Genomic DNA, 23,963 nt, shown 5'->3' with positions numbered 1-23,963 from the left:
TACTTAAATCACTCCTCAGTTAAGTTGGATGTTCATGGAGGAACATTCTTTCCTTCAGGTTGCTGATACATTTGCTGCACTGTAGGGGAGGGAGTGGGTATCTGAGTTAGTCAGTTTTACCATTTATAAAATGTTTGGTGGAGGAAATTGAAACTAATTGCTAAATTGTTAGTAACCAGTGCATTAACTAGGACCCTACTGAGTGGACTGAAAGAATCGAAAATGTTTAACTGGTTGAGAGGCAATGATGTTGCAAATGGGGTATTCTTCAAAGCTCCTTCTTTTTTTAAATCTTCAAAGGCAATTATTCTGAATGTAAACTACAGACCAAATTGCAGTCTTCTGTAAGCATTTCAGAGATTACCTCAAATATTTTTTGATTAAAAAACTCTTCCGTGGTCTTTTGTGCTTCAGAACTACCCAGTACAACAGGGTCTTCAGCCTGCTCAGGATCTCTAAAGAGAGCTAGCACACAGTCAGCCAACTTTGGCTGCTTCAACTCCTAGGAACAAGAAATGATGCTGAGATAATTTGTCTGGCAGGTATTATCAGCCCACAATGACTGCTGTCATTTAGCCTCAAAATGTTTATTTTTCCTTTTACAATGCTGTATTTCTTTAGAACCTTCCTATTCCGAGTGTGGACCCTAGGCCAGCCCCATAGACTTCCCCTGGGGACTTGTCAGAAATGCATAATTTTAGGCCCCACCCCAGACCTGTTGGACCAGAATCTTCATTTAACAAGATGCCCAGGTGATTCATTCATGTTTGAGAAGCTCTGCTTTAAATCACTAAAGCAGTTACTGAGTAATTACTACCATCATGACTCTGAAGAGCTCCTATAGCCTTCAAATGCGCCTAACTCTACTCTAAAGGCAAATGTCCTCACTGGGAAATCTGATCTGCTGTTTCAGAGAAGTGCAGGGCTACACAGTGTCTTACACTCCTATCTATTGATGTTTCTTGGTTTTGCCTGGTAATCTGCTGCTTAAATGGATTATTTGATGACATATTGATATTAAAACAGTCCTATTTTTAGAAAAAATAAAAATAGGAAAGATGAAAGCACTCTGAGAAAACACTTGCACAGATACCAAACGTATAATATTTTCAGCAATGTTCTTTAAACCTGTGGTTTCTGTTCGCATGTCACTAGTTTGTTGCCTTTTAAGACAATGTCAGAAAAATCCAGATTTTTGGTCAGCTGATGAAAATAGTTTAAAAAGTAGGTATGTGTGCTGTATTTTCTTATTTAGGAAGACATTAGATTCTGAGGTCAGAGTCAGACTAGAAGACATATATTTTCTCATTCATCTTTTATGCATCTATACCTGCTAATCAAATGCCAAGTGTTCATTTTAATGGCCAGAATGTTAGGAAGGATGGCCTAGATCAGAAGGGTCTCATGGACAAAATGCCTTTAGGGATCAAGAGGATAAAAGAATTTAGCCAGCCTGGCCAGGAAAAGGTGAAGGGTGAGTATAGCTTGCCTAAACAGGACAGCTACCCCTCAGTATTGTCCTGTGGTAATACAGGCTTAGTTAGGGTGACTATATTGTCTTGTTTTAAGAAGAAAAAATAGAAATCTTCATTTTTGTGTGAAATCTTAAGGTTTTTAACTATTGGCAATTAAATCAAGTTTCTGTGAATTAATAATTTCTTCCTCCCTCTCTTTTTTCTTCCCTTCTAAATATTGTGTAGTCCAATAAAGCTTAATTAGGAACACAATTAGGAGAGGTTTGCCAATTGATGACACCAAAAAGCCCCAAACCTTACAATTTACACTAGTTTTATTCTCTTTTCCCCTAAACTTTTTCTAGAATGAAAAAATCAGAAATTAGATAGAATCACAGTTCACCACCTTTGCCTCTTTACTCTCTACCTAAGTTAGATGCTAACTAATGGTACAATGAAACTCTGAAAGAGAATTATTAGTAAGTTTATCTTATATAATAAGACAGTGTATAAGATATTGTATACTATCTTATATTATCAGATAAGCATAAGATAATACTTATCATTCAGTAAGCAGTTTGTTTACTATCTTATACAAGATAATTAATACTTATCTTTATATTTTAATTTAATATTTTTAATTAAACTAATATTTTAAATTTTAATTTAATGTTTTAATTAATATTTTTAATATTTAATACAAGATAATACTTACCTTGTATAAGATAGTATACAAACTGGTTACTGAATGATAGGAAGATGGTTAAACATATTTATTACTATCATTCACTATCATGTAGAAAACTCTATTTCATAGTCCCATATAGTAGAGAGGAACCTGGTTGCCTTTTCAAGAATTTCTATCAGGTGACAACCAAAACAGATTGAATGAATGCATTTTTATAAGCTTCATAAACATTTTTAACTTTTTTTTTTTTTTTAGACAGGGTCTCACACTGTCATCCAGACTGGATTACAGTGTTGCTATCATGGCTCACTGCAGCCTCCACCTCCTGGGGTCAAGCAATCCTCCTGCCTCAGCCTCCCTAGTAGCTGGGATTACAGGTGTGTGACAGAACACCCAGTTAATTTTTAAAAAATTTTTTTTCTTAGAGATTAGGCCTCACTATGTTGCCCAGGCTGGTCTCAAACTCTTGACCTCAAGCAATACTCCTGCCTTGGCCTCCCAAAGTGCTGGGATAATAGGCATGAGCCATCATGCCTGGCCGAACTTATTTTTAAATTCTTTGGGAATCTAAAAGGACTATGTGCTTTCTTTTTTACTGGATTATGTGAGAAGATAATAGTTTGCAGAGAAATTCAGTGAAGCAGCTGATAAAATGCTTTAAAAATATATTTCAGAGAATTGAGCAATAACAGTGATGTCAAAATAGTAGCCCCACCTTCTCCAGCCCACCTAAACCAACACTGAGCATGGACACATGCATTTCTTGTCATCAGCCAGACGAAATGGAGTAGCAAAAATCCATCCTATATGTCATTGAGTCTTATAATACAGTTCTCTTTTCTCTGCCTATTAATAAAAGACCCCACTGAATGAAGCCGGAATTCTTTTAGGCAATTTAAACTTTCTGAAATAGAGGAAAGTTGGAAAGGGGCGGTAGTCAAGGAATATAGAAGTAAAAAATATTTTTGAGGTCAAATGCTTATCTGAACAGATTGTCTAGTCTGATTATTTTTAAAAGTATTATGTTGATACCAGTGTTTTAATTTGAATCAAAAGTAATGATTTAACCAAAGTTGTGCTTCCATTATTAACTCAGAAACACTAAGAAACGAAATCACTTTTTCACTTCTTATTTCCCACTGATGCTGACAAAAGAAAACCTGAGATAATCAAAGACCCACAACTAAGTAAGACCTCTCAGGATCTCAAAGCCAAGTGTTTTACAGAGAAGAGAAGATAGAAAAGGCATATTATCTAGGAGTGGAAAAGAATTTTATGCTGAAAATGTTGAAGAGAGAATTCAAAATCAAATTCAACATTCCACCTAGGAGGCTTCCATCTCTGCTTAGGAGCTGAGTAATGGAGGTGATTGGTGTAAGTGTTCAGTACCTATGAAGACCTAACTCTTGAGGGAGAGACTCCAATGTAAACTTCCTACTCAATACTGCCTTAAAAAAAAAAAAAAAAAAAAAAAAAAAAAGTAAGTCCTTATTCCCAAAGTGACTAATACAAACCAAGCACTCGGTCAAGGGCTACTGAGGGAATGACTGCAATAAAAAGCAATCTCTGTGTAGACTTCATCCTTGTCAATTGTTAGCGACTTTGGTCAAGAAGATATTTTGGAAAATACCATTCACTACTCTACATTTTCTATGGTGCTGTTGAAAAATAAAAAATAAAGCTTTGATCTGGAAAGCTCTGATTCTCATTCTCATTATCTTTGTGATCGTGGAAAGGATGTTTATTCTTTCCGAGTATGTTTTCTTTCCTCTAAAATCAGAGACTACATTATCTCTTATATCTTGTCCCATGCTAAAATTCTATACATCTTATTCTAAGATTTCAACAATATCTATAGAAAAAGACAAAAAGACTAGGAATTATGAGAAGAGAGAGAGATTATAAATTCTATATGAGGAAGTTTCATCTAAAACTTATCTTCTCCTATCAAAAGCAAGTTGTAGATACTCTTAGTTAAGCCACACCTGCCTTGTAAATGCCAAACAGGTCCATTTTAAAGTGTAGTAAAAACTACATTCCATTCTATTTTTAAACAGCTTTATTGAGAATCCACATGCTATGCAATTTACCCACTTAAAGTGCACACAATTGAGTGATTTTTAGTATATTCTCAGTTTGCAGCTATCACCACTATTAATTTTAGATCATTTTTGTCACTCCCCTCAAAAACCTCACACTCATTAACACTTGCTCCTCATTCCCTCCTCCAGCTCTGGGCAACAACTAATCTACTTTCTGTCTGTATGAATTATGAATTTTCCTATTCTGGACATCTCATGTATATGGAATAATACAATATGTTTGACTTTTTGTGACTGATTTCTTTCACTAAGCATAATGTTTTCAAAGGTTATCCATGTCATACCATGTATCGATAAAATTCATTTCTTTATATTGCTTAATAATATTCCAGATCCTTTGCCTGTTTTTAAATTATCTTGCCTTTTTACTATTGAGTTTTTTGTATATTCAAGATACAAGTTTCTTATCAGAGATATGATTTGCAAAATTTTTATTTCGTTTTATATTTCCTCCTGGAATGCATTTTTTTATTGCCATGAAAGTAGAGAGCGGGTGCTAAGATAAAATAATACAGAGGTTATTTTAGTTTGGGGAAAGGGGTCAAGAAAGTACCCTGAGACACATTGAGGATTTGATGAAGCTGTCTTGAGGGCTAGGAGAACACTGCAGGCAGAGGGAGCAGCATGTGCAAAGGCCATGAGACAGGAATGAATTTGCTGGGTTTAAAGATGAGCAGGAAGGCCAGTGGAATAGAAAGATGGTAAGGTAGAGAAGGGTAGGAGACAAAGTCTGGGAAGAGGGAAGGGGCCGGTTTACATACACCTTAGAGACCACATTAAGGAGTTTGAATTTCATTCAGAAAGTAGTTGAGTGGTTTTGTGGATTTTAGCAGCGGAAATGGCGTGATCCAATATAAACTTTAAGATGATCCTGCTAGCTGTTTCATGAAGATTGATGTGTGAAAATGAGGTAGAAACAGAACCAAGACGACCACTTGGGAGACCTTTGCTGTTGCTAGAGTGAGCAATGACTAAAATCAGTGAGCTTGAACTAAAATGAGACAGTGGAAAACGAGTAAGGTGAATGGATTGGGGATTATCTTGGATAGAGTGTCATGGCTAAAAGTGTGTGTTCTGAAGCCAGAATGACTGGGTTATAGTACTAACTTCCTCTCTTACTAGCTGTATGACCTTGGGCAAATTAATTTTCCTATGCCACCGTTAAATGAAAATAATCATAGGAGCCATGATGTGAAGTTGTTATGAAAATCGAATGAGTTAATAATGCTGTATATGCATCACAAGAGTACCTGGCACATAGTGAATGCTTTAATAACTGTTGCTGCTATTAATTGTTTTGACTACTGAAATAGACAAGAGTTGGTGATGGTTTGGATGGAGAAGAGGAGGGAAGTTTCAAAGACAACTGACAGGTATCCGGCTTGTGTACAAGACACTTGGTGGTGCCAGTGCCTGAGATGGAGGAAACTGGGGAGAATAAGGGTTTGAGAGGAAGGTCAAGAATCTTATTTTGGAGTTGTTTGTTTGGATGGATGTGAGATATCTGAGTGGAGAGATGTCGGGCTTCAAGTAGCATCCTGGGCCAGAGATAGAGCTGGTATTCAAATTCGAACTGAAATATACTGGAGAAATTTGCAAAACAGCACTTAAAAATAATTTAACCTTGTCCTGGACCAGCCAACAGGATGCCAGAACAATTTAACAAGACCAGTTTTCTTGGGAGAGGTTGCAGATATAGCAAAAAGAGTGTGGACATTGTCATCAAGCAGACCATCTTTTGAACTTTACCCCTCCATTTACTATTTGAGTGATCATAAATAGTTACAGGTGGGTTAGCAAGGAGGGGTCATGGACAGCCCCCACGTTTCTGCTTGAGCACCAGGTGGTTTATAGCGCCGGTTCCTGGGTTGGAGGAAAGTGGAAGGAAGCATGTTTCTCGGAGCCTCATCTTTCTCAGCAGAAGATTAGTAGGCCTTCCTCATAGGTGAGGACCAAAGGAATGTACATCTGGCACATACTACATGCTCAGTAATGATTTTCTTGGATGACTTGGACACTTCTCCCCTTCTCAACCCTGCTGTAAGCATCTCCACCAGCCTGCTTAAATCTACCCCCATTTTTATGTGAAAATGTTGGATGGGAACCATGAGGTGACAGACCAGGGCTAGGACTAGGGTGAGGGAAGTTAGGCACGCACCTTGGGCACCAAACGGAAGGGGGTGCCAAAAATCCAGGCAATCACAACAAATATTATTTTAATGCACTACTTTTAAAAATCAAAAGTAATGCACAAATACCCATGGTAAAATAAATATTAATGTTTAAATAAAGACAGAATCAGTATTAACTGATTTCTCCTTTCACCTCAAGATCTGTCATTTGGTGCAGTACTGGGAAAATGTGAAAGCTTACTCCCCAGCCCCCAAGACTCTTTCTCATTTCTCCCATAGTTGTTAGCTAAGGGCTAGTCCTCAGCCTCGGGCAATCTAGTCATCTCTAAATGCTAAAGACTTCAGAATGTATTCTAACACCTGTGATACTGGGCATACTTGAGGTTGGGGCTTAGGCCCCTACCAGCCCAGCCCCCAGTGCTTTTTTATCTGTTGCAACATAGAAGTTGAAGCAAGGTTCCCTAGTTCACCCCACGTCAGTAAACCAGGCCCTTTGACCCCTGGAAATGTTGAGCAAACACAAAGTAAAATAACCCAATGCTCTATTAAAGGCTGAGGTTTAAAGGTCAGCTTTGTGCTTATTGGCTGCAAGTCTGATTCACTCCCTAAATGACTATCAGGGAGATTTGTGCTTGCAACATGGACTGAGGAGATGAGCCTTTCCATTCAGAGTGGGGAGCTATTTGCTTTATAAGGAGCTGTCCTCACCAAAAGGAAAGCAGCAGGTCAGGAGCAGGTGAAAGAGAATAGAGGTCCCTGAACCAGGAATGCTTCCTTCTGATTTTGACTCTGACTTTTGAAAGCTAAAGGTACATGTAGGCCGGGCGTGGTGGCTCACGCCTGTAATCCCAGAACTTTGGGAGGCTGAGGCGGGTGGATCACGAGGTCAGGAATGTAAGACCAGCTTGGCTAACATAGTGAAACCCCATCTCTACTAAAAATACAAAAAAAATTAGCTAGGCATGGTGGCAGGCACCTGTAGTCCCAGCTACTCGGGAGGCTGAGGCAGGAGAATCGCTTGAATCTGGGAGACAGAGGTTGCAGTGAGCTGAGATCGCGCCACTGCACTCCAGCCTGGGTGACACAGCGAGACTCTGTCTCAAAAAAAAAAAAAAAAAAAAAAGTACATGTAGTGGCTTGTAGCTTTCAGCTGTTTCCCAGGAAAATCAGAAAATCTTCAACTGAAATATTTGGTAATTTAGACGTCATTAGTAAGTGGATAATAAATAATTAAGGTTAGACTTGTCATAGCTCATATGTATCACAAGGAAATATTTATGGAGTTTTGAGCCTGTGGGTCACTTTTCCTATAACAAAACCTGGGTGTGGGAAACCAAATTTTTAAAAGTTATATTATTTACATATTTTTATTTCAATTTGAAGAAAAATTTGTCTAATTTTTAGAATGTTTTCCTGCAAATATAACAGACTTCATAATGCACATTTATGAAGGATTCTGAAACAATAGCAAGGAAGGAGAAAGAGCTGCATGGATTAATCCTGAGCTGCTGCAGCACACTGACTGCATGTCAGTGGCACTTTAAGATTGCAACATTTTGTTTGGTGACCTTCACACCAGTTGACTGTATGCACCTTAATCTCTCTCTCAAAAAAAAGCTGAGCCTACTATAGATTGGCATCTTTTTCTTTTTAACCCCAGTTTTTCATTTACCTACACTGGTTTACCTACACCTGGTTTAATTTGTACAGCAGAATGAAGTTCTTTATTACAAAGCTCAGAAACTCGTCTTTGAGTTTTTAGGAACAGTAAGTACAAAGGTTGTCATGAATTGAGACTGAAAGACCTCATAGATAAATTGGGTAGTACATTTTTAAAGTAAAGAATAAATAACACTTCAGAAAAATGTAGAATACGTTCATAAATGCACAAATGGAGATAAAATGTCACTTTTTGTAATGAGGTTTCTTTCAGACTTTGACACTCGTAAGTAAATGTTCAGAGGAAATAAACGTCAGGGCATATCAGCTTTTGTGAGGGTTGCCAATGTGTAAATGTGAGGTCTACTGTAAATCGTGCTGTCCATTTACCTGCCTCTCTGCAGGAATTTCTTTTTGAGTGTGTAGTCCTTATTTCCCAAGAATAAATACAAAGACTTTTCAGACTATGAATACATATCACATGGTCTCTAAGGTACAGTTGTACATTATACCTGTGGAAGTTTTCTTTCTTAAATAATTAAACGAGATTTTTAATTGTATAAAATAAGAATCTTAAATATTAAGTTATGATGCTTTCTTTAAGAGTGTCTAGTTTCCTTCCTTCTCTCTCCCTTCTTCCCTCTGTTTACTTCCCGGCTAACTCCCCTCCTTTCTTCCTTCTCCCCTTCCTCCTTCTTCCCTCCTTTCCTTCCTTCCTCATTAATTCTTAAAATGTTCATTTGAATGCTTAGATGCTAGATTGTCTCATTTCTGCCTCTATGATTATTGCTTATAAATCAAAGCAGTAAGTCCCACTAAAAACTTAAGAGCCAAGTTAGTATCTTCTTTTTTAGCGTCCTATTATTCACTCAAACTTAATCTTCTTTTTTTCCCATTATTACAAGTTATTACTAAAACTAGCACAGAAAAGCTTTTCACTATATCGCCTCCTTTGAATTAAGATAGTCTCACATATATAGTATTTAGGGAAAAGATAAGGCTAATATTCTTTGGACCGGCTTCCCTATTTTGAAAAAATCTTCCCTCATATCCCTAAACCATACAGACAAGCATTATGCAGAAAACCATTAACATGACTTTCAGTTTTCAAGAGAGAAAGTCAAAAATTCCACAGAAAATTAGAGCTGTTGGACTAAATGTTGGTCTATTAATAAGCAGGAAGAACAATTTAGCTGTTTTCCCTGCTGAGTTAATATATAGTACTGCTGTCTTTCCTGCAGCGGTATTCTCCAGCTGGGTTACTTGGTTCTGGGAATTTCCTCTCAAAATGCCCATTTCTGTCAACCAGCCATCAGACCTGCCTGAGGATAGTTGATATGACAGTGGTGTGACATATTGAATATTAATATGAAAGTGACCTTCCCTGCTGTCAGAAATGGGTCATATATATGTGAAATCCATGAAAATAGATGAGAACAGATTTAAAATAAGGAACACTCCTTATATTGGTATACAGTGTTCACCATGCTTGTACTGAAATATGGCTGTAAGTAGCTTGCCTTCAAGAATTTTTAATAATCATTTCTGAAGAACTGATTTTCCCTTTCATACTTTGTCTTTCATTGGCCAACTTTAAATCACCCTCTAACTAGCCACATGGCTGCCCATCACTCCCTCTGTCAAATTCAGAATTCTGCCTTTGCCTTCAAACTCAAGCCATTCCTGCTTTGACTTCCTTCTGTCTTACATCTGTCCTTGACCTTATTTTGGCTGTTTTGTTTGCCATTCTCTAAATTCGCATCTTTCTGGCCTGCTTTTGCATGGGCTTCTCTGTCATTTATTTTTAACTAGTGGCATAGAGTCCTTCCCTGTCATCTGCTGGCTTGTGTTCTTACTCTCCAAAGCCAGTGGCAGGGGTTTTCTTTCTCAGAAAAGGCATTTCTCTGTTTAAATATTAGTTTTCATACCCAGAACTTGCTGACTCTTGAACATTTAATGTACATTTAGCCAAACAACCTGAATCTGTTATAAATGTGCAAAGACCAAGTTTTATATTTTTATATGTTTTGTAATAACCTCATGACAGGTACTTAATGGGTTGTGTTTATGTTCAGAGAATGAACTTTTAGGTTGTCAAGATGGGAGGTATACAAGTCTTTTTAATAAAGACCCCTAGCTAAAGGCTGCTTCTCTAGCCGATGGAACAAACCAGGACAAGGCCTGCTTATCTGTGTATTGTAGCTTTCCTAATTGATAGCAAGTGCCTCTGAAAAAATGTTTACATAGTTATCTAAAGTAATCATTAATTACCAACATTGTACATTTCATTCTGGTTAACCTCTTTTGGTATCATTACTTTTCTCAGAGTTGAGCAGTAATCATTTTTACAATGGAGACTTTTAAAAGATTTTTTAAAAATAGCATTTTGATCCCTGAATTGCGTTTCTATGTGATTATGCTGATTTTTTCATATATGCGAGTCTTTTTTAAAGTTAAGTTATACTTACATCCTTAATGATAAATCGCCAGTGAAAACCAAGAGAACTCAAGAGAGTCTGACCATTTCTGTACTTGGAATGTGTCAGGGGTCAGTGCTCTGCAAATGGCACATGTGGAAAGAAGGATTCATAATTCAGTTGTCACCCAACTGTATCATAAGAGTTTGAACTATAAAGAAATAAGTAGTTGCTTCTTGCTGACCAACAAGATCGCTACAGGTTTCAAAGAAAGAAAGAATTCGTCATCAAGGGCAGGAAGGTACTTCATAAATAATTACCAAATGAAGTGGTCGTGATGACTAGCGCTCTCTTTCCTTGAAACCTGTAGCAATCTTGGTGGTCAGCAAGAGGCAACTACTTTTCTCTTTATAGTTCAAACTCCTCCGATACCATTTGGGTGATCACTAAATTATGAAACCTTCATTCCCCATCTCCTCCCATTTGCAGAGCACTGACCCCTGACACATTTTATGGACCAAAATGGTCAGGCTTTCTCGAGTTCTCTTGGCTTTCATTGGGGATTTATTATCTAATGTCTACTCACCCCTTCCCCTCCAGGACTCAGATCATAGAGTTTTGCTATATAGTACTTTAAATTTCCATTAAGCTTGAAATCATTCATTTCAAAGAAGAGGGTCATGGTGCCCCTGATTATATACAGGATAAATAGAAATAAAGATATCCCTGTGTCATCATGAAAATGAACAGCTGGCAATTGAACTTATTAATATATTAACAGGACACGATGAAACAAAGGTATTCCCTCTGAGATCAAACCCTCCCATTACTGCAAAGAAGGGTGTAGCATGAGAAAGTTCTCTCCTAGGTTCACTGCAGGTTCACTTAGACCTGTTTGACTTGTTGAGATTATTTTAAGCTCAGGAGTTAATTTTTTTAAATGGCTAAGCCTAGTTCATCATTACAGAGTACAAAATATTCAATCATACTTAAGGGTTGTTGGGGTTTTCTCATGGTAATGCATTATAATTGATAACATTCATTAATTGCTTCGAATTTCTTCCTAATTAAATTTTAAAAATAAATGCATAACTGCTCTTTGAAATTTGATTGATTTGACTTAAAAACTAATTGGAAAGGGGAATCTGTGCCTCCTAATTTTATAATTAAAATATATGTTGCTAAATAGTTTTCATCTACTTCTATTTTTTAATTCCTTCATTTCTTATAAAAATGGAGGCTATATTTGCATAACTGTGTCCCCGGTAATGATGGGAGACTGGGAAGTTGCAAAAAATACTTTGCAAGGACAACAACTATCTTGACTCTTCTGCCTATTTCCTTGTAAAGATCTCTGTGATTATTTGGGCCCACCCAAATATTGCAGGATAAGCTCCCTGTCTCAAGATCCTTACCTCAATCACATGTGTAAGTATTGCTATAGGAAGTAACTTATTCACAAGTTTCAGGATAAAGCTATGGACATCTCTGAGGACCATGATTCAGCCGCCCACTCTCACATTATATTTCCCAGAACCATAGAGAGCACCCCACAAAGATTTGCTGAATATTGTTGAGTGATCAAATGATATGGTTTCAATAAAGCTCCATGAATTATACTTGTGAAGAACAAATAGACTTCTGATGTCACTGTCACAGTAGGCATTGCAGGAATTTTCAAAAGTATATTTCTTTCTTTCTTTTTTTTTTTTTTTTGAGAAAGATCTTTCCAATGTAGATAGTGTATGGAATGACAATTTAGCAGCAGCAGAATGCACTTTTGCAGAAACACACAAACACACATAACTCCTTTGACAATAACCCAGCATACTGACCTCTCTCCAAACCTGCTTTCTTTTTTGTTGTGGCCAGACTTTGAGTGGAAGGAAAGGAGATTGGCAGAGGTGAGCAGGAAGAGGCCAGAGCTGAAGGAGGAGAGAAGAAATTAGCCAGGTTTGATAGAGAGATGGCTTCTGGGACAATTCTTTTCAGAGGCCAAGGTGGCTGATGAGCCACTTGCTCCACTCATTTCCCTGTGAGATCATGGAGTAAAATTAGAGGAACATAAAAGGCGAAGGCTTCCTTACATCCTTAGAAGGTCATGACCAGTGTGTCCAGCTTCTGATTTCTCATGACAGTATTGTTTTTATTCTTTAATAAATTTTATTCTGATATTCAGTGTATAAAATAAAAATTGCCTACCTTAGTATTCAGAGATAGCTGCTGTAACATTTTGGCATATTTTCTTCCAGTTTTTTTCTCTGCATATATGGTTACATCACAGAATCACAATTATGGTCTGGACAAAGTTTTATATCTTACTTATGTTCACTTGACTAGGAAAATTTTCTCATGACATTAAATATTTTTCAAAACATGATTATTCAATGACTGTATAATATTGCACTTTTGGATGTACGTCTATGGTTGAATGTTTATGCTTCTGCCTAGAATGAATGATACGGCCTTGAATAGTTTTGCATTACATCTTTTTTCACCTTCTTAATTGTTTCTATTGGACAGTTCCTAGGAGAGGCAATCAAAGGGCATGGACGTTTTTATGATTCTTCATCGATGTGGCCAAAGATATTAATTTACACACCTACTCTCTGTGTCGTGACTATTTCTCCTCACATTCAACAGCATTAAGCATTAGTTTTTTAAAAAAAATTTTAAAAATTTTGAATGCTTATTGGATAATTATAAGGATTTTTGGTAACTTGTTGATCTGTGTTCTTTGCCCATTTATCCATTGAGATGTTAATATTTTGCTTATGAACTACCTTTGCGTGTTATGTCTCTGGAAATTATTTTTCCAGTTTGGTGTTTGCCTTTTGAGTATTCTGCTCTCTGATATATAAATGTGTTTCACCTTTGCTACTCCAGTCAAATCTACTATTACTCTCTGACACATTTCACTACCTTTATGTTTAGAAATTATTTTGCTAGGCTCAATAGCTGATAAATAACCACCTGTATTTTACATAATCCTTTATTATTTTATTTTAAAATTTAACATAACATTTATCTGTCTTTATTTTAACATATAGTATGAGATAGCAACATACATTTTAAATTATTCAAATAGTTAATTCAATGCCATTTATTAAATAAGTGCTCTTTTCTTCACTGACTTTTTGATTAAATCTATCTTTTAATTGGTATATACATTTCTGTATCTGGGCTCTCTATTTCTGTAACCATCTATTAATTATTGTAGCAGAACCATATTATAGTTTATATATCCCATTATAATTTGTATTATAGCCTGTTTCTGACATGGTGGCCCCTAACTCTTTCATTTTTCTGTATTTTAAATTTATTTTAGCAGTTATTGTCTCAGCATTCTTTAAGGTGAGTATTGGAATTAATTTTCAAATTTAAAAAATCTTGGACCGGGCACGGTGCCTCATGCCTGTAATCCCAGCACTTTGGGACGCTGAGGAAGGTGGATCACTTGAGGTCAGGAGTTCAAGCCGGCCTGACCAACATGGTGAAACCCCATCTCCACTAAAAATACAAAATTAGCCAGGCATGGTGGCACACGCCTGTATCCAGCTACTTGAGAGGCTCGAACCCGGAAGGCACAAGGTTGCAGTGAGCCGAGATCATGCCATTGCACTCTGGCCTGGGCAACAAGAGCGAAACTCCATCTCAAAAAACAAAACAAAACTTGTTGTACTTTGTATAGAATTATGTGCAAATTATGAATTATTTTGGAAAAGTTTGCATCTTCACAATTTTCAATAATTTCAAAATATCTCTTTTTCAAGTCTTATGTGATATGACAAAAAAATCATTTATTTGTAGAGGTCCTGCATTCTTTTTAAGGTTATTCCTAGGTATTAGATACTTTTTATTTAATTATTTTTGAGATTATTTAAGATACTGTTTTCTAATTGGTGGTTACTGTTATATGAAAGCTATTGCTTTTAGTATTTTGTCTTTTGATTCTGTTTGTTAATGATAATTATTTTTCACTTAGTTCTCCTGAGTTTTATTTATAAACAATTATATTATAATCAAAAAATGATTCTATCATCTTTCCAAATAATGTATCTCTTCTTTGTTGATTATGTCCTATAACATTAGCCAGAATTTCCACAGCAAAGTTCAAAATACTCACTGGCATTCTACTCTTATCTTGTTTCTGATTTTAACAGCTATTTATTTGATGATAGATTTTTTTCTAACCATGTTAAAGAAATTTTTTTGCATTCCTAATATGCTGAGAATTTTTAAAATTAAAAAAATGGGTTTTGGAATACTATAAAATGCCTTTTGGATGATTTTGGTAAATTATCATCCATGAGGAGAATATAATATGGAAGCCAGAGTATGGGATTTATGGCCAGACAGAGCTGGAGTCAAATTATACCTCCTCCTCTTAGAATTGTGTAACATTAAGCAATTTATTTATTCCCTTCGAATTTCAGTCTCTTACTCTGTAATATGAAGATAATCATGTAAATATCTTGTGAGGATATTATGAGTATCCAGTAAGAATTATTTATAATGTGTTTAACACCAGACTTGATATGGAGTATCATAGTTTCTTTTGAATTATTGCATAAGTTTTGCCTTTGATCTATTAAAATGGTGCACTATAATTACAGATTTCCTAATATTTAATCATCTTTTTATTCTTGGACCAAAGCCTACTTGGCCCTGATGAAATGTTTTCTTAACTTACTGCTGTATTCCATATTTGTTTGAGATTATTGTATCAATTTTCCTAATGATTTGGTCTTTAGTTGAATTTTTATGCTATCTTATTAGTTTTGATATCAAAATTATGTAAACTTTATGTAATGATTAGAAAGATTTTATCATTTTCTGTGTTCTGCACCTATGGAAATTATATTTTCATGGGCAATTTTTTTTTCTCTGAAATTCTCTGTATCGGGATTATTTTTTGAACCAGATAATACTTTTATAACTTTTAAAGATTTTTGCTGTTGTTGTTTCTATTTGTTGTTGTCAGATTGTTTTCTCTAATCAATTCATCTATTCAGTGTTTCTACTTCTATTTGTGGCAATTTTGGTAATTCATATTATACCTAAAAATTGTCCTTCTGTCAGTATCGTTTGTTTGTTTGAGATGGAATCTCACTCTGTTGCCAGGCTGGAGTGCTGGTGTGATCTCGGCTCATTGCAATCTCTGCCTCCCAGGTTCAAGCAATTCTCCTGCCTCAGCCTCCCAAATAGCTGGGGTTACAGGCACATGACACCACACCCAGCTAATTTTTGTATTTTTAGTACAGACGGAGTTTCACCATTGTTGGCCAGGATGGTCTCGATCTCCTGACCTAGTGATCCACCCGCCTCGGCCTCCCAGAATGCTGGGATTATAGACGTGAGCCACCGTGCCCAGCACCTTACTTCTGTGACATGATCTTGTAGTTATTATTCCTTAGTTTTCTGTTTTTGTTTTTGTTTTTTTTTTTTTTTTGAGACGGAGTTTCACTCTTGTTGCCCAGGCTGGAGTACAATGGCACGATCTCGGCTCACCGCAACCTCTGCCTCCCAGGTTCAAGCAATTCTCCTGCGTCAGCCTCCCGAGTAGCTGGGATTACAGGCATGCGCCACTACACCTGGCTACTTTTGTATTTTTTAGTAGAGAAGGGTTTCTCCATGTTGGTCAGGCTGGTCTCGAGCTCCCGACCTCAGGTGATCTGCCCGCCTTGGCCTCCCAAAGTGCTGGGATTACAGGCGTGAGCCACTGCGCCTGGCTAGACCTTAGTTTTAAAATATTTTTGACCCTGCCACCTCAAAAGTAGTAATTGTTAATCAGCAATCACATATTGAGTGCCTCAAGGGTCACCCTTACAAGAGTAGTAAGTGCCTATTTTTTTCCAAGACTGCGAACTGTTGCAGAATATTCTACCTGGATTCATATCCCAGCTCCACCACTAACAACCTGTGTAAACTCCAACAAGTTACTTGAATTTTCTGTGCCGTGGTTTCCTCATCCGATTGTGAGGATATGAAGCTCTGAGATCAGTGCCTTGCCTGGCATATAATAAGTAGCTTATAGATAGTATTATTATTACATTTAAAAATAAACACTGTGGTTGCTCTTGAGGATACAAGGTATAGACACAGTTGTGAATGGAAAACTCAAAGACAAATTGAACACTGAAGCACTTTTTACTTGTAATGTTTGGAGGGCTTTCCAGCCTTTAGAAGCACAGGAGTCCCTGAAAAAAGGATACTACAGGTATTTAAAGAAAAAAAAAATTTAGCCCACAAAGTTACAGTTAATCTGTTCAGAATCCTCATTGGTGAAAAAGTGGCAGTTCTCACATGCTTATCCTACCTGGGTGGATCCTCACGTATCTGCAGATATCTGTATTCCAAAGTCAGAGATAAAGATTTTTTTCTTGGGGGAGCCAGCAACTTACAGGGAAGGGGCTCAAGTCTTTTAAAAATGTTTTTGGATGGGGAGACTAGAGTGAGATAGGGTTTTCTGTTTTGGAAGGAGTCTCTAATGATGCAAAAATATTTTTGTTTCATCTGTCATTGGTATGTGAAGGGCACACTTAATCACAAGGGCAACAGGGCAAGGTGTAGTCTTGCTTTCTCACAGTGGTCGTGTAGGCAAGCGGGATGGGTAAACTATAAACAGAATCAACTGTATATATGGATTATGCTATGTTTTACATTTATTGCCTCGGTTCATTCAATAATACTCTCTCCAAGTGCCATGCTTCCTAGAATACTTTCTTAACCACTATTACTTATAACATTTTCTTGTACCTCCCCAAAGGGAGAAGCATCTGTTAATGTGCCTCCATTGCTTTCAGAATAATATTCAAACTACATAGCAGGGCACAAAAGACCTCTCCAGGTCCCTCCTCTACCACAGTTCCTCACTATGCCTCAGCCACGTTAAGTCCTTGTGACAGGTGGAATTCTGGGATGGCTCCAAAGATTCCTACCCAATCGTGTACACACTGTCTCTAATCTCCTCTCTTTGCTTGGCCTGGACCTGTGAATATGATAATCACGCCCTTGACTGCTTTACTTAGTATAGGACTCCATTTTAGCAGAATGAAGAGTGTTTCCCCTACTGGCCTTGAGGAGCAAATTGCCATACAGTGGAAAAAGCCACATGGCATAGAATGGTAGGTGGCCTTTAGGAACTGAGAACAGCCCTCAGCTTGCAGCCAGCCAGCAAAAGTAGGGATCTTTTTCCTGCAATTGCAAAGAACTGAACTCCACCAACAACCAGTGAGGTTAGGAGACCCCAAGCCATAGCTGAGTTTGCAGCTTCAGCTAACACCTTGATTTCAGCCTGGTGAGATCCTGAACAAAGGGCTGAACTAACTTGAGCCTGGACTCCTGACCCATGGAAACTGTGAAATAACTTTTGGTCTTTTAAGCTGTTAATTTGGTAGGAATTTGTCATGCAGCAATAGATAACTAATTTAGTCATTTAGTCTCTTGCATTCTCTTATCTCAGATCACCTGTTTCCCTCAGTACAATTTGTATTCCATGTGTCCCTATCCAGAGCTCAGTCATCATCCCTTTCACCCCCTCAGACTTGTCAACTTACTCTACATGGGAAAAAAATCATCTTTTTATTCTGAAATTATATTCTATATACCTAGAATATACCTAGAATGACCTCTGAGTCATTCTGACCTTTGTCTCCTTGGATTATTTTTATTTGTAAAACTGCTCCTGGTTTTATATTCTGTTTTTATATTCTAATAAATGCATGTGACTACAAATATTTTATAATTTATTTTGTATTCTTCACAACTTAGTATATCAAAATACATATCTGAAGAAATGTATTGATCATAACATTGAGGCTGCGTCTTGAAAAAGGCATGAATCAAACTGTGTGCATGCTAGAATGGCTCCTGTGTGGGGCTGGTCTCTAATGGTGGGCTATGAGGATCCACTCTTAGCCCCATCAAGGTACTGTTTTCTATCAATGATTTTGATGAGGGTATAGATAGTATATGTGTCAACATTATGATTGACATGAAACCTGGAAGCATGGCACATACTTTGAGTAACAGAATTACTACCTGGAGAGACCATTTCAAATTGGAATGATGGAACAAGGTTAAGTTTTAATTGAACAAGTATGAAAGCCTATACTTAAGTTTAAAAAAATCAATCTAGAAACTAAAGTTGGGGTGAGACAGACAGCACATGCGAATATATATAGATTTGTTATTTACGACTTAGTTTAAATCAGTGGCATAATGGATCATATAGTAGAGTTTATTTAAATCATGAAGTTAATTTTAGACTGCATTAATTGAACTGCTGTGTCCCAAACAAAAAGGATAATCCTCCTTTGATCTATGTGGGTCACATGACTCCTGGGTAGTTCTGGGCACCTCCTTAAATGGGGTCATGGACAAACTGGAATTTCTTCATTGGGTAGGGACCAGATGGGCAAACAGATTTGCAATCATGTCCTACATGGTGGAACAATCTGAACTGTGGCTCTTTCACCTGTAGAAGAGAAGGTATTTAATATCTAAAAATTAGACCTATTTTTCATCACTTTGGTGAATGGAAATGATAAGGAAATAGAGTTTTACTTTATTAAAGTTACCAACATGTAGTTAATAGCAAAATAGAGTGGGTTGCCTTTGGGAGTTATTGACCCCATTCTCCTTGAGATGTACAAATAGAAATTTGGATGGAGGAAAACAGAATTGTGAAGTCTTTTGCGTGTGTTGTCACAAGGAGGTAGTGATTGACTGAAAGGCATCAACATATATAGAGACTCTAAAGTTTCATTAAGTGTAAAGAATATAGAAACATATGGATATGGTTTTGTAAAGTAGGGGATAATACAACAGATCCCAGACAGAGGATCCCATGCCATAGTTCTCGTGAGAGGGCGTCCGGCTCTAAATTAGACCACCTACCTGGAGTTCAGCTCCTGTAGGTGTGAGAAGAAGCCTATAGTAGATGCTGTTAGTGCCCCACCCAGGCCCCCTTAACAGGGCTAGTCCCCTTGCCCTCCAGCTGCTGCAGTTGTTGGCTGTCATATCCTCTTATCTGCACCACCCTCTGGAGGATTGCCCTTGACAATGACATCTACCTCATCCAGACAATGACATCTACCTCATCTACCTCATGCGTGGGAGGTTACAGCCTCCATGCCACAGGACAGCCCTTGACCAGTTACCACCTGATGCTGAGGTACAACAGCTCAGGCCCCTTGCCTCTGTGCAGAATGACCTCTGAGTGATTTACACCCCAGAGCTCCCTGTGGGATCAGACTAGACTTCTAAAACCACATCTTTGTCTTTTCCCCTGCCCTCCCTTGCTTCCCTTACTCCCTCATGTGTTTCCATTAAGAGCCTGATTTGCCTAGGAATTGTTCTCTCAGGCTTTGCTTGTGGGGATCCTTACCTAAGACACTGCCTTTTCCTTGTTTAGGGGGACTTCTGATCTCTGTCCTTCTACTGCTGTACTTCTGTCCTTCTACCTGACAGGGGCTTCTACCTTCTCATCTACTCTCTTACCGAGGGCCAGTAACTGGATAAGAGGGTAGAGGGCCAAGATACCACTCCTTTATAACTAAGTAAAGAAGTAATTTTGCCAGGAGCATCCCCCAGCAGGCTTCAGTTTTCTGTTCTGTCTAAGGATGTCTCCAGCAACACTGGAACAGATGCCCCCTGAGGGCCCTCCCCACTCCAACATCAATGATCCCGTGGATCTCATAATGCCATTTTATTCTTTAAAGAAAGAATGCATGTGCACACACACACACACACACACACACACACACCTTTTTGTTCTCTCTGACAATGGCATTACTACATGACTCTTATGGAGATAAAAAGATAGGCGTCATCTCATATCTAGCAACAGTGTTCTAGGGGCTTTTCAGGTTAGAAAAACATGAAGATCAGTTGGTGTCCATCTCTTTTTCTCTTTTTAACTGCTCTATGTTTCTGCTTCTTTATTCTTCTCTCTAGATGTCTTTCTTGTAATGGGCACCTGGCTGACCCATATAAGGTGGCATGTGGGAATGCAGGTGGAGAAGCTTGGTGTGGAGGATGACGGCCTGGTTTGGGAGCCTAGATCAATGTGCTTCATTCTGGACTCTGGAATGAAGCCGGGTAGCCATGTAACCTTCCATTCATTTCACCTTTCTTAATCTCAATTGTATGTATAAAGTGAAATAATAATAAAATAAAAAAAAAAATTGTGCCTGCCCCACCTAACTGTCAGTCTCATGAAGACCAAATGAGATAGTGCATCTGAAGGCATATTAGGAAAGTATAAAGCCCTTGAAAAACATGAGAGATTACTCAGCTAAGATATTAAGATGCCGTCCTGCTTGTGAAGAGCTTGCAAAATAGTAGGAGAGCTGAGACATAAACACAAATAAAAATTATTTAAGGTGGGGGATGATCTGTGTCATCAGGGAGGTATAGAGTTGTATAGGAGTTCAGAGAAGGGAAAACCCATTTCCTGCTGGGTAAATTTAGTTTTTGAGCCCAAAAGTGTGTTCATTTTCTTCCCTGTATCTCCTTTCTGGCTTGTCATACATAGACAGGAGGATCCTTGAATAAATCCAGAAAAGTAACAAAGATCTGTTACCCACCTTTTTTTCCAGCAAACTTTTTTGTTAATATATAATAGTTGTGCATATTTTTGTACATGTGGTCTTTTGATACGTGTGTACAGTGTGTAATGATTAAATCAGGGTGATTAGTATATCCATTGCTACAGACATTTTTTCTTTGGGTTGGAAACATTCCAGTTCTCTTCTAGCTATTTTGAAATGTACAGTCAATTGTTAACTATAGTCTCCTTACTGTACTTTCGAGTGCTAGACTTTATTCCTTCCATCTAACTGTATTTTTGTACCCATTAACCAACTTCTCTTCATCTTCCCCCTACCCTTCTCAGCCTCTGGGAACCACCAATCTGCTGTCTTCCTCCATGAGATACACTTTTGTAACTCCCACATATGAGTGAGAACATGCAATATTTGTCTTTCTATGGGTGGGTTATTTCACTTAACGCAATGACCTCCAATTCTGTTCCATATTGCTGCAAATGAGAGGATTTCATGTTTTTGGCTGAATAATATTTCATTATATATATATATACATTTCGTTATATATATACATTTCATTATATATAATATAATAATATTTCATTATATGTATGTATATATATATACACACACACATTTTTATGATATATATATGATATATATATACACATTTTTATGATAATGGAGAAAAGTGCCAGGTCCATGCACATTTGATTGATGCAGGGACTGGATGATCTCTTTTGCGTCAACCCTCTGCAATGAGACTTAAGGGTTTCCATTTCCTAAAGTGGATTTTACTACATTGGCCAGACCTGAGAACTGGGATGTTTCTATCTGCACCTAATTCTGTCAGCATTGATTAGCTGATTCTTTGATCATCATGTGAAGAGATTCACATTATTATATATCACACAGAAGAAGAGAACCTTTCCTGGTAAATGAGAAGTGCTCAGAGCATTTCGAAGAAGCTTGGCCCAGGTGGTTAGATGTACGTGATCTTCCAGGCCACCCCACCGGGGAATAACGTGTGCTCTATGCATAGAAATGCATTCCTCAGAATCTATGTTCAAGGGCAGTGCAAGAATGTGAAATGTAGAATGTGTTCTGGTAACTTGAATTATTTTCGACGGTCAGGCTCAGAGGAAAGCTAAAAAGCACTCATTGCTCTTGTTAAACTTCCCATTTACTCAAGCAGATACACTTTTTCGAACTTGAGAAAGAGAAGTGTGTGTGCATTTGTGTGTGTGTGTGTGCATACTATCTATATATTTTAAGAAACCTGAACTTTGAGTTCTGACTCCGTCTTTCATGATCAAGTCGTGCATCGAGGCGTGTCTTGTTTACTGCTGTGCGTTTGTAAACTGGGTCATCCTTTTCTGAGACTATGAGGAATGTAGAGTGGTGTATGTAGTTCTTATGTTCCCTTACAGTGCTGGGCTTTCCTCTCTGTAACTCAGTCTCTTGCCAGTATTCCTTCTTCTGTTATTTTTTTTTTTCTTTTCCTTAGAAAGGCAGTATCTCTTTGGATCTCCCTTAGGTATTCCCTACCATGAGAAAAGCACAGCTTCCTGCACTTGCCCCCAGATATATACTATACATTGTTATACCAGTGTTATTTCTTTCCTCTCTTTTTCCTTAAACAGAAATTTTATTGTTTTCTGACTCACCCTGAGGTCTCAGTACGTAAGTGTCATTTTTAATTCTCTCCCAATCCCCACTTTCTCCCACGACTGCTCTGAAGGGCACATTTAATGATTATTGTGTGTATAAGCATTTATGTACTTTTTTGCTTTCTCTAGTCACTTAAGCGGCAATTAATTTCTACTTCAGTGAAAGAGAATGAATTATACTGAGGCCTAATCATCTATTCTTTCTAAACAGTTTGGAAGGGCCGCGGAGGGGGAGGCCAACGTTGCATCTGCATGTGTGCATATTGCTGCGTGCTTTGGTTTCATTCCTGGGCCCACATTACTCATTGTTTCCTATCTTGCCTTTTCAATACTTTGGGGACTGATTTGGTTTTAAGTTGTTGAGTGGGGGTGGCTAGAGCCAGGCTCTGCCTTCTGGCATTGTGGGAATATGGGAAAGCTTCCATTCCCTTTGGTTTCATGTAGCAAATATACCCATACTTTGTACAAGGCACGTGTCAAATGTCGTGAGAGGTATCTCATCAAGTTAGGGAGAGGGGAAGTGTTCACCTCCACATGGGGATGCTCAGGGCCCTGGGGGGTTTGGATGTGGCTCTGTGGTGCCCATTTCTGTCCTTTACCTACCGGACCATATTGCCACATTTGGCACAGCAGCTGATCTGCACCTCCATGTCCATCTTTCCGCATCTGCTTTCTCTGACATCATCCTTTTTAATCTCCTGTGTCCCTCTGCCTACGCATTTCCTGTCTGCTTCCTTGCCTTACTTTGCCCAAGTGGTTCTTTTCTCTAGGGTTCTGATTTTCTCTTTGCCTTCTATCTACCCGCTCAGTTTAGTGTCTGTGGTCCCAACCTTTGTTCTGTCTTCCTCCATCCTTGTTTTTCATGGCATGGCCAGTGATGCTGCCATACACCTAATCAGCCAAGCTGGAAGCCTCCAGGTCCTTATAGACCTTGTCTCTCCAACAACCACTTGGTTTTCAATGAAGGCAGCTCCAGTTCAACACCTCCCTCTTTTCACTCTGACAGCCCCTCTCCCAGACCTCAATTATTGCCACATACTGGATACCTCTACCAGATTTTACCTATTTTCTTAAAAAATCCAATCTGAACATGCCCCATTCCTCATGATAGTTGTCTCTTTAATTGCTGAATGCTACACAGTAAAATTCCGATGACCAGTATGGCAAGCACAGACTGATAGCAGCTGACCTTAGCATCATCTTCAATTAGTGTCTATTTCCTCCCCATGACATGCCAAACACAGTAACTTCTTCTTTTAGAGGAAGCCTCTCTGCATTTGCACTCATCATT

The 23,963-nt window shown here is 38.0% G+C and overlaps 1 protein-coding gene across 52 annotated transcripts in view, besides 2 other annotated features; it reads left to right on the top strand.

The window, feature by feature from the left end:
- The window catches only part of THRB (thyroid hormone receptor beta), a 378,556-nt gene that overhangs the window by 36,980 nt on the left and 317,613 nt on the right, over positions 1–23,963 (top strand). The gene's annotated exons all lie outside the window — the stretch shown is intronic.
- Positions 6,866–7,010: an enhancer, noted in NCBI's record as "145 bp enhancer 120 fragment used in the MPRA reporter construct; PK_construct_1857". NCBI's record gives its function as "activates an SV40 promoter by MPRA in HepG2 cells {active_cell/tissue: HepG2}" and the evidence as "EXISTENCE:reporter gene assay evidence [ECO:0000049][PMID:23512712]".
- Positions 6,932–6,945: a transcriptional cis regulatory region, noted in NCBI's record as "HNF4 motif; enhancer activity is reduced when this motif is scrambled". NCBI's record gives its function as "necessary for full MPRA enhancer 120 activity {active_cell/tissue: HepG2}" and the evidence as "EXISTENCE:site-directed mutagenesis evidence [ECO:0005528][PMID:23512712]".

This window comes from Homo sapiens, chromosome 3 (assembly GCF_000001405.40).
Source record: "Homo sapiens chromosome 3, GRCh38.p14 Primary Assembly".
NCBI lineage: Eukaryota > Metazoa > Chordata > Mammalia > Primates > Hominidae > Homo > Homo sapiens.
This window is presented reverse-complemented; position numbering and strand designations above follow the sequence as displayed.